The 18649-nt window shown below is 36.2% G+C and overlaps 1 protein-coding gene across 3 annotated transcripts in view; it reads left to right on the top strand.

The window, feature by feature from the left end:
• The window catches only part of PTPRR (protein tyrosine phosphatase receptor type R), a 282666-nt gene that overhangs the window by 21552 nt on the left and 242465 nt on the right, over nucleotides 1–18649 (top strand). For all 3 annotated transcript variants that reach the window (XM_011538615.3, NM_002849.4, XM_047429233.1), the window contains exon 2: nucleotides 6210–6508. In XM_011538615.3, the coding sequence (XP_011536917.1) occupies nucleotides 6210–6508 (299 nt within the window). The remainder of the gene's footprint in view (nucleotides 1–6209; nucleotides 6509–18649) is intronic.

Here is an 18649-nt window from a genome sequence, read left to right as displayed (position 1 = left end):
TTTCTGGGAGAAATTATATAGATTTGATGTTATTTTTTCTTTAAGTGTTTGGTAGACATTTTCAATTATGCCATTTGGTCCTGAAGATTTTTATTCAGAAAAGGTTTAAGTAGAAATTTCATTTCTTTTATAATTTTAGCACAATTTAGATTATTTATTTCATCTTTGGTGAGTTTCAATAGTTTGTGGTTTTAAGGATTTGATCGTTTTATCTAAATTGTTGAATTTATTTGTAGAGGATTGTTATTTTCCTTTTTATACATTTTTACACTTGCTAAGTCCGTAATGATATCCCTCCTTTCATTTCTGATATTAGAAATTTGTGTTTCTCTCTTTCTCTGTCAGTCTTGCTAGAGTTTTATCAGCTTTACTAATCTTTTCAAATAACTAGCTTTTGTTTCACTCGTTTTTCTCTCTCTGTATTTTCAATGTAATGATTTCTACTTTTAACAGTTTAATTTCTTTACATTTATTTTACTCTTTTTTCTTGTTTCTTAAAGTGGAAGCTTATATTTTTGATTTGAGACCTTTGATTTGAGACCATTTAATGGTATAATTTTTTCTTAAGCACTGTTTCAACTGCATCCCACAAATCATGTTATATATATGTATATACATATATATGTGTGTATATATATATTTATAGGTTAAGGATTTTTAAAATATATATATTTATTGAATATGTAATATGTAATATGTAAAAATAATTATATAAAGAGTATCAAGGAGTTAAAAAAAGACTAAATGATGATGAAAAGAAAAACATAAACTGTAGAAAAACAATATAAATAAGAGAACAACTAAAATAAAATGAGGTGTCTTTTTAAAAGTGCATATATTGACAAGATAATGCATTGGGTTCACATTTATAGAAGTATCACTTTGAATTAGAAATTTGAAGACAAGCAAAAACTTCATAATCCCTATACTCATTTACTAGGCTGGCTTTTTTTTTTTTAAGGTTTCTCTAATTGCTTTAATTCAGGTTATCTACATAGGTTTCTACATATGGATTCTCTTTTTTTATTATTATTATTATACTTTAAGTTTTAGGATACATGTGCACAACGTGCAGGTTTGTTACATACATATACATGTGCCATGTTGGTGTGCTGCACCCATTAACTAGTCATTTAGCATTAGGTATATCTCCTAATGTTATCCCTTCCCCCTCCCCCCACCCCACAACAGTCTCTGGTGTGTGATGTTCCCCTTCCTGTGTCCATGTGTTCTCATTGTTCAATTCCCACCTATGAGTGAGAACATGTGGTGTTTGGTTTTTTGTCCTTGTGATAGTTTGCTGAGAATGATTTCCAGCTTCATCCATGTCCCTACAAAGGACATGAACTCATCCTTTTTTATGGCTGCATAGTATTCCATGGTGTACATGTGCCACATTTTCTTAATCCAGTCTATCATTGTTGGACATCTGGGTTGCTTCCAAGTCTTTGCTATTGTGAATAGTGCCACAACCAACATATGTGTGCATGTGTCTTTATAGCAGCACGATTTATAATCCTTTGGGTACATACCCAGTAATGGGACGGCTGGGTCAAATGGTATTTCTAGTTCTAGATCCCTGAGGAATCGCCACACTGACTTCCACAATGGTTGAACTAATTTACAGTCCCACCAACAGTGTAAAAGTGTTCCTATTTCTCCACATCCTCTCCAGCACCTGTTGTTTCCTGACTTTTTAATGATTGCCATTCTAACTGGTGTGAGATGGTATCTCATTGTGGTTTTGATTTGCATTTCTCTGATGGCCAGTGATGATGAGCATTTTTTCATGTGTTTTTTGGCTGCATAAATGTCTTCTTTTGAGAAGTGTCTGTTCATATCCTTTGCCTCCTTTTTGATGGGGTTGTTTGTTTTTTTTCTTGTAAATGTGTTTGAGTTCATTGTAGATTCTGGATATTAGCCCTTTGTCAGATGAGTAGGTTGCAAAAATTTTCTCCCATTTTGTAGGTTGCCTGTTCACTCTGATGGTGGTTTCTTTTGCTGTGCAGAAGCTCTTTAGTATAATTAGATCCCATTTGTCAATTTTGTCTTTTGTTGCCATTGCTTTTGGTGTTTTAGACATGAAGTCCTCCCACATTGCCAAGTCAATCCTAAGCCAAACGAACAAAGCTGGAGGCATCACGCTACCTGACTTCAAACTATACTACAAGGCTACAGTAACCAAAACAGCATGGTACTGGTACCAAAACAGAGATATAGACCAATGGAACAGAACACAGCCCTCAGAAATAATGCCGCATATCTACAACTATCTGATCTTTGACAAACCTGACAAAAACAAGCAATGGGGAAAGGATTCCCTATTTAATAAATGGTGCTGGGAAAACTGGCTAGCCATATGTAGAAAGCTGAAACTGGATCCCTTCCTTACACCTGATACAAAAATTAATTCAAGATGGATTAAAGACTTACATGTTAGACCTAAAACCGTAAAAACCCTAGAAGAAAACCTAGGCAATACCATTCAGGATATGTTATATTTTTATTTTAGTTCAGTTCAAAATATGTTCTAATTTGTCTTGTGACTTTCTCTTTGGCCCATGGATATTTAGAAATGTGTTTTTTTAATTTCCAAATTTTGGAAATATTCTTCTTTTCTTTCTGTTACTGATTCCTAGTTTAATTCCTTCATGGTCAAAGAGTATACCTTGTATAATTTCAGTTTTCAACATGTGTTATTTTATGGCCCAGTATATGATCTGTCTAGATGAATACCCCATAAGAACGTGAAAAGATTGTGTATTCTGGTGTTTTGGGTTGTGTGTTCTATAAACACCTATTAAATCCAGTTGGTTGATGGTGGTGTTCTTTTACAACCTTGCCTTTGCTTCTTTTCTTTCTCCTCAATCTACTTACTATTGAGAGGGAACAGTTAAAATCTTCAATGATAATTGTGAATTTTCCCATTTCTCCTTTCATTTTTGTCAGCTTTGCTCCATGAATTTTAAGCTCATTTTTGATGCATATATATTTAGGAATATTATGTATTCTTATGTACATTGCATCATATGTCCATCATTATGTAATGTCCCTCTTTATCCTTGGGAATTTCTTTGTGCTGAATTGATATTAATATAGTCACTCCAGGTTTCTTTTGATTAGGTTTTCATGATATGTTGCTTTTCACTCTTTCACTTTAAATGTGTCCATATCATTATATTTGAAGTGAGTTTCTTGCGCTTCTACACCTGCATCTGAGTCCAGGGTCAGGTATTGATAGGAGAGAGAGGGAAAAGAGCTATGATTGTTGGCTGCTTTAGAATTACGGCTTCACTAATAGATAACTTGGCTTCTCAGTCTTCACTTTTCCAAAATTTTTACTTGAGTATATTCATAAAGCTGAAGTGAAGGAGGAAATAGGTAGCATTTGAGGATAGAAAATACAAAACCAATTCCAGACATTAGGTCAGTGGTCCTCAAACATCAGAGTTTGAACATAAGAATTCTATTATAAATCCAGATTCCTAGGCTACATCTATAGAGATTATGCTTTGGTAGTTCTAGTCTGGGGTCTAAGAAACTGTATCATCATGTCCCGGGTAGCTCTGATACAGAGAACCTAAGGACAGCACTATGAAATTTTTTTTCTTACCTAATGATTGTGGTAGGACACCTAATATTACACTGCTATCTTAGAACTCATTACTCAGGAACAAGGCAGGACTAAGTTCATTCACACAGACAAGTGGATAAGGTTGGAAAATTTTCATTGTGTTTCAATTGCGCTTCAACTTAGATTTTGTCCCTTTCTCGGTAGGCCAATTTTAGCATGCATTTATTAACTGGACTTTTCTATTTAGATAAAGTGGCTCTGAAAAGACTTGGTGTGATTGATAATATATAAAAAGAAAGATTGAAGATATTTGTGTAATTTACTCAGTTTGTCAGTTATTTCTCCTCTTTTAAGATATCTACTTTCCCCAATCTTCTAAGCTGCTTTTTTCTTTTTATTTACTATTTATAGAGAATCCAGAGTAGAGGAATTGCTAGTTTTTACAGGCTTTGCTTTCCATCAAGCCTTGTGTGACCAACATATACGTCTTACATCTTCAGCAACTCTGTTTCACCCGTATCCCTTCAACTTTCATGTGGGGTTATAAAGATGGGTTATTTTCTTAGCCCAAGTGCTTTATTCCACGATATAATAGTATGAGAATCATCTTCTGTTACCAGTAGCTTTATCTTTTTGGACCACTTGAATTATATTTTATGTGGATCCTGAAATAGTAATGGAAACTAATCATCATGTCTTCAGTTCCGAGCATGCTAAATTGACCATAACTTTTTTAAAACAATCAAGCCACCCATAGTTTGCCAAAGATGATGATTGGACAATGATGACCCTTAAATAATTGTACATTTTATTTCTCCATATTAAATGAGTTCCTCGGATTTGGAAATGAAACTCTCATTAAGAACATATGTAGTATAATGGAATTCAGAACAGGATATCTCAATGTTGTTGTTCTTACCACTGTTTTATCAATGGAAAATGGTGCCAAAATGTTTTAGATGTATATGAACTTTCTGACCACAAGGTGTGTATTTATTATTTTACTAAAAATAATTTACTAAATAATATTGTAGTGTCCTAGAAGAGTTTCTACATTTCTGAAAGGAGAGTAATTTTCTTCTTTCCCTCTGAAAAACTATCTGATATCACTACAATGAAGTGATTCCTTTGGGGTTAAGAAATAAAATAATATACTACTTTCATCCTGGTTTACTTTTCTAATACCACTGATGTAGAGGTGATTCTGTGCTTTGGGAAAGGTATATTGTATGCATAAATGAACGTGGGTCTCTCACCTAAGAGAAAATAGAGAAATTTAAATGCCCAGTAGCATGAGTACTAGATCTGCCATGATAATTCTATTGAATTTGGGCATGTAAATAGCTGAAATTTGCAAGAAAAACAAAATAAAGTACAGACGCTTGCATGATTTGGGAAGTAAAAGATAAAAATAGTAGGAGATTGGAGAAGAATTCTTGTAAAAAGAGGTAAGTAATTTTCTAAGGACAGCACTTGTTACCACAAGCATTTCCAGTGAAAATCTGGGGTACCATTGCTAGGGACTATGTTATAAAACAGATCTCATGTTTGCTTTTCTAACTGGTATTTGACCTAGTAATATTCTTTTTGATTCATATGTATTATCTGTTTCCTCCTGTGGCCAGTAGCAAACAGGAGAAGCCATTATTCAATGCAATGAATATTTATCTAACAGAAGAAATAAAGATGAATGTATTTGTTACTAAATAAATTCAATTGCTCTAACAAAGATACTTAAAATAATAGCAGGTAAAACAATAGAATATTGTTTTTCTCTCTAAAAATCAGAGTGGGAACTGTGAGGTTGGTATGGTAGTTTCACTTTCATCAGGGATCAGAATATTTTGTCTTAGTGCTCTACCATCTTTGACACATGGTTTCTACCTCATGCTCCTACCAGACTCTCTGCATTTCAGCCAGCACAAAAGAGGAAATGTAGAAAGGAAGGCCATATCACATCTCTGCTAACATCTGTTTACTCACATTCCAATAGCTATAACTTGATCAAATGGCAATGCTTAGTTGCAGGGAAGACTGAGAGAAATGTAGTCTCTATCTAGATGGCCATATTACTTACACAAGTAAGGAGACGATGGATATTGTTTGGACTACTGAAAGTTGCTACCACAATAAGTACACTCAGATTTCTTACCTCAGAGAGCTTAAATACTCTGTAAGCGTGAAGAAAACTGTTCATTGTAATACAAGCAATAAGTATGAAATAAGAATTGTAGGAAATGCTTATATTTAAGGAAAGCTTAAATATGATAAAAATATTTATAATTTCAGCAGCAGATAGGACATCCAGGAATAGAAGCCCAAGTAGGTATTGAAACTATGGGTGTAGATAAAGGAGGAAATTTCTTAGTAAAAGTGGCATCAGAATATCTGAAAAATAGAACTTTTTCAAAGTACGCCCACTTTTATCCACCTAAAGTCTTTGAGAGGCCTTCATACCACCAGGTGTATACTATTTGTTGAGGATCATGAAGCAGACAAAGAAATATGGAGACTAACCTAAATCCTTCACAAGTCTTAAAGCCTCTCAAGAAAGGGTAATCCTCTTCATCAGATATATCTACCTCTCTTACTGAATAGGGTCTTTGATATTGTTTCTGCTTCTTCCCTCTTTCAGGGTGCTTTTCAGGAAACAATGATCATTTTTTGGCAATTAATCAGAAGAAGAGTGGGAAGCCGGTATTCATTTATAAGCATTCACAAGACATTGAGAAGAGCCTGGATATAGCCCCACAAAAAATCTACAGACATAGCTACCATTCCTCTTCCGAAGCTCAAGTAAGCAAACGCCACCAGATTGTCAATTCAGCATTTCCTAGACCCGCATATGACCCGTCTCTCAATCTGCTGGCCATGGATGGTCAAGATCTTGAAGTGGAAAATCTCCCAATCCCAGCAGCAAATGTAATTGTGGTGGTAAGTAGTATGTTAAACTGATGCTGAGGCTGATGTTGATTCTTTCCTGTCATTGATGCTTGAAAAAAGAAAAACACTGATTGTGAATAGTTATCAATGAATCCCAACGGGTATGTACCACAGCACTTATTCTGTGGTACTTCTAATTTCTTACTTGACTGTTGTCTGTTTTCTTCCTCTTACGAAATCAGAAAACTTGTCTGTATCCTCCGCTCATAGCAGAATGCATGGTACATGGTAGATGCTTAATAAATATTTGAATAAAAGATTACTTTAGGAAGGCCTTACAATTATAGTTGATTATATCTTGTACTGAGCCTCCTACCTTCTGTGAGAATCTGTTTTAAGCAGATAGGCCTTAGTCTCAGCCTGTGTAAATAAATAATACTTATTGAAGATCCTCTGGTCACTTGACTCAAATTACAATAAATAAGACAACTGAAAGGGGAGGTGTGGTAGAGGGAGAGTAGTTTTCTGTCACTGGAGCAAATAAAATGAGTTGGGAGTAATTGATAGATAACATTTTTGATATTACTGAATAATAACCATTCTTTATTAATAAAAGTGATACAATGATCCCATTGCTTATGTTCTTAAAGTTCCCTTGCTTGTATAACCCAGGTCAGAGGTTTCCAAATTGTGGAGGTTATCATAGTTTAAATACATACTGAGGTTGACACCCTATTTGAACTACAGTCACTCTCTGGTTTAACATCATTATAGAAGGATCCACATTGAAACTACAAATCAGTAGTTAAATGGTTGTTATTGCATCTCTGCTCCAAAATATAATCAAATGAGTTGATTTGTGTGGCCAAGATAATTCAATGAAACCATGTTTGCATTTTGGCAACTCCTCTATGCACCAAATGTAATTAAATCTAACAAGCTTCTTTTTTTTCTTTATTTTTTTAACCTACTACATATAGTATACTTTACTTAATATTGAGAATCAAAGTTCCATTCGTCAATGTTTTCAGCTAGCATACACTCAGTATTTATTATGATCTAGTTTCCCCTTGGGATATCTGGAAACAGAGACAAATGAAATACAGTCTCTTGTTTTGCTTGGAAAATGTCCAGAGGGAAATATCAATAATTCAATAAAAATCATAAGCTAAGAACACAAGATGAACTCTTGTTAAGAGAAAATATGTGGGTCACTTGGCATCCTGAAATACTTGAACAAGTTTTCTGCATTTACATGAGTAGCAGATGTTCTGAAGGTGAAAGTCATGTACTCTGTCTATTCAGTGAAGATAAATGATGTTAATGATGTCTCTGTATCTGGAGATGCTCCTGTTAATGCTAGGGCTCATGGGAGATATTTCCTTAGTGACCATCATATACCCATAGTCATCAACTCTTAAAGTCACTGTGAATTACAGTTCAAGAGGCTTGTTCTATCTTGTAATGTCATGTACTGTCTAGTTAATTTAATATCATGGACAATAAAAGGCACCAATGAGGAATTCTGGCAGGTCATTTCACTTTCAGCTTATTTGTGGTTTGGAGATTGATGAAGAAGCTGTGCTTTTCCTTTGGGGTGATGATTACATAGAGGCAATAGGCAATTTTGCTGCATTAGCTTTCCCTAGCCTCTGACCATGCTGTGGCTTTGGTAGCTGGCAACACCAATTGCCAGTCCTAATGTTTCCTGCAATCCACTTAGATTACTTATGTGCATGATGATTTAGCAGCAAAACTGGGGAGGCAGGGTTATTTTTTAAATAAATCAATAATGTTTAGCTTCCTCAAAAAGCAAAGGGGTGATGCAATTAAATGTCAGCTGATTTGAAGACCCATTCCATACAGAAAATGGATGTATGGATGGGGCATACAGGAAGCAAGGGATATATTCTGGGGCAGCATAATGACTTTAATGGAATAATTGATGTGTGTTTGTGCTTATCATATGTACATGAGTATAAAACATATACATCAATGCAGACCTTCTTGTTTGAGGGATATTGCAGTGGTACTAAGAATTATTTTGAGACTTAATTTATACTCAAATAGACCATGTTCTGACTATCAGTGTCTTGAACTGGAGAAATTATAGGCATTTTTTTTCCAGCCAGGGTAAAAAGCTACACTCAACCTCTAAACTTTATATGTAACTTCTAAGACTTCCTAGCTCAGAAGGAAGGATCAAGCATTTTTCCTCCAATACTTTTTTCTTTCTTGTTTCAACTATCATTGGCAATGAGTTTTAGAATGCTACCTTTAAAAAGGGCATGAAAGTTGTGTCTCTCCTCCCTTCCTGATTCCCAATTGCCACCGCAAAGCATTTCATAAGAGCATTTATCCACAAATGAATTTTTTCCCTCTTTCTTCTTTTTATTAGTAATCAGGAAAATTTATAGTTTATTTGTTACAAGGAGAGTACAACACAATTAGAATGTTTATCCCAAATAATGCTAACTATGTTCCGGAACTCAATTAAGAAGCTGTTATTAGGATTTCTGTGCAAGTACAATGTAGAGAAGATATTGAATGCCTCAAGGTCAGTACTATGGTAAGAGGAAAAAAATACCGCTTTAGATGAAAGTATGCTGTAAAATCCATAGCTCTTGTCACTGGATCCTCAGGATATTTGTCAAGACACAAGGCCACAACACCAGGAAGGAGGGAACCCAGAGGTGCAAGTGAAAATGGTGGAATGGTAGCAACTACAGGCCATTTCAGTTCAGCATAGGCTGCTGAGTGAAGAATGTTCTAGCCTGGACAGAAATCTGAGCAAACTGAGGATTAGTAAGGCTTGGGAATATAAGGGGTGGTTTTTGACATCAGTGAAACGGCATGGAAATGGGAAGATTATGATTTACTCTGTGAGATGGACTCATGGGTAAGAAAAATAAAGGAAAGGAGAAGATGGAGGAGAAGAAACAGGAAGAAGAGCAGCAGGAGAAGGAAAGGAGGCAAGGAAAGAAGGGAAAAAGAAGCGGGGGGAGAAGGGAGGAGAGGATACAGAGGCAGTTTTTAGGGAAGCAGGAAGCATTCTGTGAGCACATAGGAAGATGATGAGTTTCCAGGGGCTTGCGATCCTCTCCTTGAGATCCTAGAATCCTAAAATTTCTTGTCTTGCTCACCACTCACCCAGATCAACATATAGACAGACATTCTATTGTTTCTGTGACACAGAAAATTCTTTGCAAATACTTTTTGTCAGGTATTTGACTTAGAAAGCTATTAAATCCAAAAACGTGTGATAGCTATGGGTTTTAATTACATTCTAAACTCGGGTTTATGGCATGCCTCAGCTTTGTTCTGCTGTTGACTACCTTTTGGATTCATCTTATAAGTAAAGTGATAATCTCTAGACATTATGTGAAGGGCTTTGAAAGTCCGGCTTTCTCATTGCTTTGCCACTGTAAAGAAATTCTGTAGCATTTACTGTGTGATGTGGATAAATAACTGTTGGATACTTTTTCAATAGACAAATTGGTTTAATTATAATTTTATATTTGTGTAGTGGATTACCCGAAGGATGGGCTTAGTCTATGTACATATCAACAGAATTCAGCCATGTCATAGAAGATGTATTGTTGAGGAATATGTTGTTGTAAGTGATGACAAATCCAACCCAAACTGGAGAAAATTTATTGGTTCAAATGCCAACACTTTTGTAGTACATTTAGCTCTAGATATGGTTCAATCAGCATTTAACATTTCTCCTGACATAGGAGAAAGTTAAGATCCCTAGGATATGTCTTAAAATTCAGACTGTTTGCCATTGAGCACGATGCTTTAGTACAACCTATTGAATTCTTTATATTTTGACCCTGAAAAGTCTCAAATTTTGTGAAAAACTACAGTAGCCTGTATACTTCTTGACAGTGATTACTTACATAGTAGGGACAATAGGTCTGTGTTGAGCTGTGGAGAAGCAGATGTCTAGGCTTATTCTTGAGCTAAGTGACTTGCTCTTGGTGGGCAAACTCAAAGAAAGCATGATTCAAACACAGGCTTTGGGAAATTTTTTGAATTAATATGTGTTAAGGGTATATGGGATCAAAATAATATAATACCAAGTCCAAAATACTAAACTGGTGAAATGCGAAAGCCTACTGTAATGTGAGGTGTGACTCAGATGTGCTTCCATATAGTCCCAGAACACCTGTCCCAAGTTCCTAGATGGGATGCATATAAAGCCCTAAGAGAATAAATCTGATTTTAAAAGTTGCAACACAAGAAAGTTGGTTAAACAACAACTACTGAAAGTACATGCATGCAAATTTACAAATGGAAAAGTAGAAATCATAGAGCAATCTGAGTCCATATGAGAAATTAAAGAATGATAAGGGAGGCATCACAAGTGAGTGGGAAAATATTATTGACCATGTGAGACTGGAACAATTGAATAGCTTTTTTTCAAAAGATATCATGATAGTGATAAGTAAATTATTTTTTGCTAAGCATAAAACATTGATAGTATGCTAAGAACTATGCGAGTATTATCTCATATAATTGTTACAGCAAGCCTGTGGCAACAACAAAACTATTATCTCTGATTTTTTGCTTTTCTTTCTCTAATAAATTATTGGAACATGCTGCTAACTAGTCACTGTATCCACTCTTTCCCATTTTTGTTATGGTGATCTGCAGAAAGTTTGAATCAGATCATATCACACCACACACACACACCCACACACACACATACACACATTCACGACTGCCTTCTTATTGCCATTGAACTAAAATTCAAACATTTTCCCATGGCCTATATCCTACATCACCTGGGATCCAAGATTCCCAGAACTCTTGCCTAAGGATTCTGATTCCATAGTTCTAGGATGGATCCTAGGAATCAATGCATTCAGGAAGCATTCTGGAGGATACTTGGGTTTTCAGAGGTTTGGGAAGCATAGCACACCACCTGGCCTATCCCTGTGTCTCTGAGTCCATCTCCTACCACTCCACCTCTCCTTGACTCCCTGCAAACTGCTCTGGCCTTCTCTCTTCCTCAGGACAGTGAGCCTATTCCTGCCTGAATCAGGAATTTTACTCTTGCTGTTCTACCTAGAATAATATACTTCCTGCAAATCTTGTGTCTAGCACATAATGAAGGCTCATTAATTATTTTTAAATTAATAAATAAATGTCAAATAACAGAATGCAGTTGTTTTGGACACTGAGATGATGAAAGATTTCTTATTGCATTTTTTTACTTCAACCTGCAGTAAATTTCCTACTTTTTTCTTCACCTTATTACTTAATTTTTTTTTGGAAAGAGTCTCGCTCTGTTGCCCAGGCCACGGTGCAGTGGTGCGATCTTGGCTGACTGCAACCTTCGCCTCCTGGGTTCAAGCAATTCTCCTGCCTCAGCCTCTCAAGTAGCTGGGACGATAGGCACGGACCACCACGCCCAGCTAAATTTTTTGTATTTTTAGTAGAGGCGGGGTTTCACCATGTTGGCCCAGCTGGTCTCAAACTCCTGACCTCAAGTGATCTACCTGCCTCAGCCTCCCAAAGTGCTGGGATTACAGGCATGAGCCACTGAGCCTGGCCCCTACTTAAATTTTTAACAGACAGCTTGGATAGTTTTCAGGAACAAATTTCAAAAGTAGAAATGTAAAACCAAAAAGAAAATAAACATTGGGAACATACGCCATCACTGAAAGAAGGAGGGCACTGTCTTACACCTAGCCAGGGTGACACTGTTTAAAACTACAGCTTCCAAAGACATTTATGTCCACCTGCCTACATTATTTTTCTTCTTAGTACTTATGAAGCACTTCTAGCTAATATCTTTTATGTCTCTTTCTTCCCGAGTTATAATGTATGTTCCACAATGTTGAGATTTTTTTATTTTGTTCCTGCTGTATTTCCAGTGACCACAATGATATAGGGGCTCATAACTATTTATTTGATGAAAGAATGAGTTGATGCCAAAAGAAACACAATTCAAAAGCTTGTAATTAAATAAATAGTACATCTCATTATCAAGAAAATATGATTGAATATGCAATTTTAACACTTAATTACCCATTATATGATCTCGTTTTACATTTTCTCTCCCCACCTAGAGTAGAAATTCCATTAAAAATATACTTGTTTTGTATCTATAACCTTTCAATAGCAAATGCAAAATAGCTAGTCAATGAATATTGATGATTGCTTAATCTATTCCCAGGATTCAAAATCATTTGAGTTGACTTAAAGGATCCATAATAGCCATTTCACAGATACTAATAAAAAATAAAATACAGCTTTCAGTTAGATTTTATTTTTAAGAAAGCCTAGAAAAAGAAATTCAATGATCTACTCCAGAAGTTTGGTTGAACTTTTGTTCTGCTCTTAACTTAATGTTAATGCTTCCTATTAAATTATAAGATCTTCTTATATAATCACCTTCTTATATAATCGCCAGACTAGCATTGCAGAAAGCTTTATGCTCAGATTTCCCCAGCTATTACTGTATCCTTGCAAAATAGTCCTGAAGTAGAAATTCCGTTCTTGAGCTTGGCATCCTGACAGTCATAACTGTCACCATCTGTTGCTTTTCACCATTTCTAGCTATTAAAGCAGCAAGGACGATGCTGGAATGCACTCTGGAAAAGCTAGAGGCTAAGCCTCAGCAATGTCTGTGTGAGGTTACAACCCTGGACCACTCAGTGCATCTGCTTGTTTGGGATCATACACATTCACTATTAGGATGACTCAAGTCTTAAGAGAGCTGGTTTAATTGATTGTCATTAGGCCTTGCTCTCCAGGTGCAGTGAATGAGCAGGGAATAACTTAGTAATATTTTTGTTCTAATTCCAAAAATTATGCATTTTCATACAGTTGTAGAATATTTAGAAAGTTTAGATAAGGAAAAGCGGAAATAAAAACCATCCATAACCAGCCAGGCGTGGTGGCTCAGCGTGTAATTCCAACACTTTGGGAGGCCAAGGCTGGTGGATCACGTGGTCAGTAGATCGAGATCATCCTGGCTAACGGTGAAACCCCATCTCTACTAAAAATACAAAAAATTAGCCGGGCATGGTGGTGGGCGCCTATAGTCCCAGCTACTCGGGAGGCTGAGGCAGGAGAATGGCATGAACCCAGGAGGCAGAGCTTGCAGTGAGCTGAGATTGTGCCACTGCACTCCAGCCTGGGCAACAGAGCAAGACTCCGTCTCAAAAAAAAAAAAAAAAAATCCTTAACTGTTAAATAACTAAGGTAATCTTGCTCTCTCTATATATTCTTTTCTATGTACAGGTATGCATGTATTTTTTACAAAAGTATGAAATCTGCATATATGTGCTTTGTAATTTTTTAGTTTTATGTTTACATTATGGATGGCTTTCCAAGTCGTTAAGTATCATTGTACAGCATCACTTTTAACAGCTGCTAAAAATTTCATTGTATAGTAGCTTTCACATTTTATATATTGACTTATATTCCCAATACAGTCACTGATTTAAGGCCACTCATCCTGAGAAGGAGAAATAAATGATGACAATATCTAATATAGTATTATTTTCTAAGCAACTGCCCAATTAATATTACTGAGAGAATTTGGTGAGCTTATCTCAGGGAAAGCTACTTTCTTTATAAATTCTTCATATAATTGTAATATAGGATCTAATTTTTTTCATTTGGGCAAATTATGTACGTTTCAAAGATCTTAGACCTTAAATCTTAAGTAAAGTGAAATATTTAAAATAGCCAAAGGAGTAAACAGAACAAAAAAAGAGAATGTTCTGATTAGAAGATACAAAACATTCTATTTCAGAACTTATCTTTGAGGAAGAAGGACAGTGCTGTTCCTCTTTATGTTGGAGCCTGCAAAACTTTTTTTTTTTTTTTTTTTTTTTTTGAGACAGAGTTTTGCTCTGTTGCCCAGACTGGAGTGCAGTGGCACGATCTCGGCTCACTGCAAGCTCCGCCTCTCAGGTTCACGCCATTCCCTGGCCTCAGCCTCCGGAGTAGCTGGGACTACAGGCGCCCGCCACTACGCCCGGGTAATTTTTTTTTTGTATTTTTTAGTAGAGACGGGGTTTCACCGTGTTAGCCAGGATGGTCTCGATTTACTGACCTCGTGATCCGCCCGCCTCGGCCTTCCAAAGTGCTGGGATTACAGGCGTGAGCCACCGCGCCTGGCAAAAAAATTTTTAATCCAAAATTTCCACAATAATGTCAAAAAGGGGGATCTGCAGATAAACAAAAATAGTATCTTTTCTCTGGAGCAAATATTTACTTGGAGCTTTCAGTTCTCTCTAAAATTGCCTTTGGTTTTCCAGTTGTTAAGAACTGTTCTCCCGTATGCCTTTTGTTAATGACTTTGTCCCCTTTTCTTTCTTTCCTTCTTTGTCTATTTATCTGTAATCATAAGTGCCTGTAAATCATGCTTACTATCTTGTTACTATTCAATAGTTCAGTTAAAAATCTCACTGCTAATGGATGATTATACTGGGCTTTCGGGGCATTTGGCCCTGCTCCTGAGTGATGGGATTGGCACCACTTAGCAAAATGCTTAGGTTTCTCACTGTGATCCCTATGACTCAGGTGGTAGAAGCAACGTGTTTCTTTCTCTTTTTTTAGGAAAAATACAAAAGCTAAAAGTCCCTAGAAGGTTCTCTCCCTGGGCAAAGTTAAGAAGCTTAACTCCCAGTGCTAGTCTACAATTGGAATGTGAGTCTAGAGTTCAGACAGGTCACAGCCAAAGCTTTAGACCTGGGAGATATCCACAGACCCATGCATGGCTGTTAACACTGTTTGAGTGGGTGAGAGAATGCAGACAGAGGGAAACAATAGAATAGAATAAGCTATTACTGTGGCAGAAGTGGAAAGAGGACCAACACAGAGAAGGAACAGATGGAAATGTAGGAGCTTCATTGTATAAATTCTTCTGGCAATCTTGACCACTCAAAAGATTTCAGCCAAATATTAGATTTTCATGACAATCAAAGTCTGCTTCCTAACTAATCCTTTCATTTTTTTTCCTGGGAGGGTATAAGACCCCAGATCTGGCTGTGACATTATTAAGACATGTGAAATAAAACTCAGTATTTTAATAAAGTAACACGGTTTCTACTGACATTTAAAAAAACTCAAAAAATGAAAAGCACGAAGCTTTTCATTTAACTTAGTATAGTCCTTGGCACACAACAGTTCTTAAATACTTGCACCAAAAAGAAAGAAATTATCTGCAGGTTAAAGGAGAGAACTAGGGGGGAATGTGGAGAAATTATCAAAATAAGCCAAGGTCCTAGCTTAAGCTGTGTGAAGATATTGTTATTGTTAAGATATTATGCACACTTAGGTAATCATTCGGCTTACCAGAGAAGTGGTAAGACTGGGGAAAACATTGGAAGTAATTCAAAAATAGCCATAGCATAATACAGTGGCTCAAATCCTTGCTGTTTCCCCTCTAATTTTTATGTGACTTAAGTCTGTGTTTCATTATCTTTTTTATTGTTGTTTTTTGAGATGGAGTTTTGTTCTTGTCACCCAGGCTGGAGTGCAATGGTGAGATCTCAGCTCACTGCAACCTTCACCTTCTGGGTTCAAGCGATTCTCCTGCCTCAGCCTCCCCCGTAGCTGGGTTTACAGGCACCTGCCACCAGGTTCAGCTAATTTTTGTATTTTTAGTAGAAACAGGGTTTCACTATGTTGGCCAGGCTGGTCTTAAACTCCTGCTACCAGCCTCAGACTCCCAAAGTGCTGGGATTACAGGCATGAGTCACTTTGCCCAGCCTTCATTATCTTTTAAATGGGAGGATTAAAATTACCAACTTCATAGAGGTGTATAGATTAAATGATAAAACACATTGAATACTCTTACATGTCACCTAGTGAATAGTGAACACTCAATAAATAGTAACTATAGGAAGAGAAATGTTATTGCTATTTTATAGGCAAAGTATACATCAAAGTAACTCGTTAATATAACTGGGACTCAAACCAGTAGCGGAATAGATGAGGATCTGGAGCTTACAAACACTTGAGGATATGAAGCCTCTTTGGATCAGTGTTGGCAACAAGTAATATAAGCCTAAACATTAGAAAATGTCTGTCAAGGAAGACCAGCAATAGGTTTCAGATGAAGATTTTGGCAAATTAAAAAAAAAATGGGTCTTACTCAATCATCATATTCCCAGTCACTATGGGAGAATAAAGTTTTTATAAATAAATGTAAACACAGAGGCAAACTCTTGCGTCTTGCCGGACTGGCCTCCTTGACTCTTATTTCTTGTTTTTCACTTTTCTCCAAAGTGTTTAGTATGATAAGGGTGGGTCTCCTGGTGATGTTTTAGTCTAGAGTGTTCTTGGTGTTCTATATCCTCTGGGAAGCCAGGGGGTGGGCAGCAGTCACGGTAGTGACTTAGGATACAGATTCTGACCATCACTCCTCCTATCTATCATAGCTAGTGATGGGGTGCAAAGAATCTTGGAATCAGCAATAACAAGTAAAGGAATAGTTCCAAAAGGAAATACCTCCAGGGCTAAGCCAGTGTAAATATTTAATGACAAAGCTTCTAGATTTGGAGATCTCTTCACTTTCTCTTGCGCAGGATTAGATTTCAATTTGCTTCTTGGAGTTTGGAAAGAAAGATGTTGATGTAGGGGATTCAGTGGTCCAGACACAGGATGACAGAATAAAAACCTTTAACCAGGTTGAAGAAGATTGGTAATAGAGTTATCGGTATGAAACTAAACAAGAAATCCAACAGCGTAACGCAAAGGCTGTGTCACAATAGTGTCACAATAAACACCCAATACTTTAGAAGAGAAAACAAATATAGGAAATATTCAACTCTCCACCCTTTAATTAAAAAGAAAATATCCTTTCCTTACGCTTATCTTAAGAGAACTATTTCAAATATATTTGCTTCTTCTCGCTGTTGAATCTATTCATTGTGTCAGAATGACTTCAGAAATACAAACACGCATGTTGTCACCATAGCTATTTATCATTGTCCTTTCATAAAGAAGATTGATCAGAATCTTCTACTTAAGACGTTTTCTAAATTTTGTTTTTGAAGGATGAAAATATAATCCAGCCAATATTCATATCTCAAGTTGTTTCTTTCCTTACTAGGTGACATATTTGGACCCTTTGAGTCTAGCAAAGTCAAGAGAACATTACCAACTTTAGATATCTTTCCATTTGGCCTACATTTTCACATGGTTTAGGCTTTTGACTGAAACAATAAGTTAGCAGCAAATAACTTCCAATAAAAAGGCCCATTTTTGAGGGGATAGGCCAAATGTTCACAAACAATTTCTACAATTGTGGGAAGAGGTGTGTGTATGTGTGAGAGATGTTTGCCCTCCTCTCTGAAAATGATAGCCAGGTGATAAAAATTCCAAGACAGCCTGAAGGACTTAGAGAATACTGAGAATAATATGTGTTAGGATGACCAGGGTGAGGAATCTGTCTTACTGCTAAGTTTCCCTTAATTATTTCATGCTCCTATTGCTGACCTAGTGAAGCTGCATTATTTAAGAATTTGTTTATTTTTCCTGCCTGAGAACATGGCAACTAGAATTACGGTTTTTAACCTGAACAAGTACATGTTGTTTCTATGTGACTTGAGCCATCAAGTTCATTTCTGTTTCTTTTTTTGAAGCTGGTCTGTTTTTAAATAGGAAATTTTAGGCAGCGTATAGCAAAATCTACTTGAATGGGCTGCTAAGCAAATTCTTTGGATATAGGCTTTAAAAAATCAGCAGTCATTGTGTGTGGGAAAATGAATTACAAAATTTTTTTTCATGTATTACAAATGATGATGTCATCTATATGTTAAGTATAACTTTTAAAATAAAAAATCAAATTGATAAAATCAAGTCTATGCCAAGCTGGATTATTAAAAATAGCCAAGTTAAAGGAAACAATACATTCTGGTGAGGAGCATAAATAAGTCATGGAGACTTGAGAATCTGTAAGTAATATCTGTAAGGAACTAGAAATAAGCAAGGACAATGGGCTTCTCAGATGTGTAAAGATTTCGAATGGACACTGAATTCTTGCTCCTTGAAACATTCATTCATTCAAAAAAATTATTTAATTTCTGCTGAACTCTAAGCAGTACAACAGACTCTAGGGATACAATAGGGAACAAGATAAACAAGATCATTGCAGCTGTGTAGTTTATATTCTAATCGAAGAAAGACAACAAAACAAGTAAACAAATGAACATGATAATT

This window comes from Homo sapiens, chromosome 12 (assembly GCF_000001405.40).
Source record: "Homo sapiens chromosome 12, GRCh38.p14 Primary Assembly".
NCBI lineage: Eukaryota > Metazoa > Chordata > Mammalia > Primates > Hominidae > Homo > Homo sapiens.
This window is presented reverse-complemented; position numbering and strand designations above follow the sequence as displayed.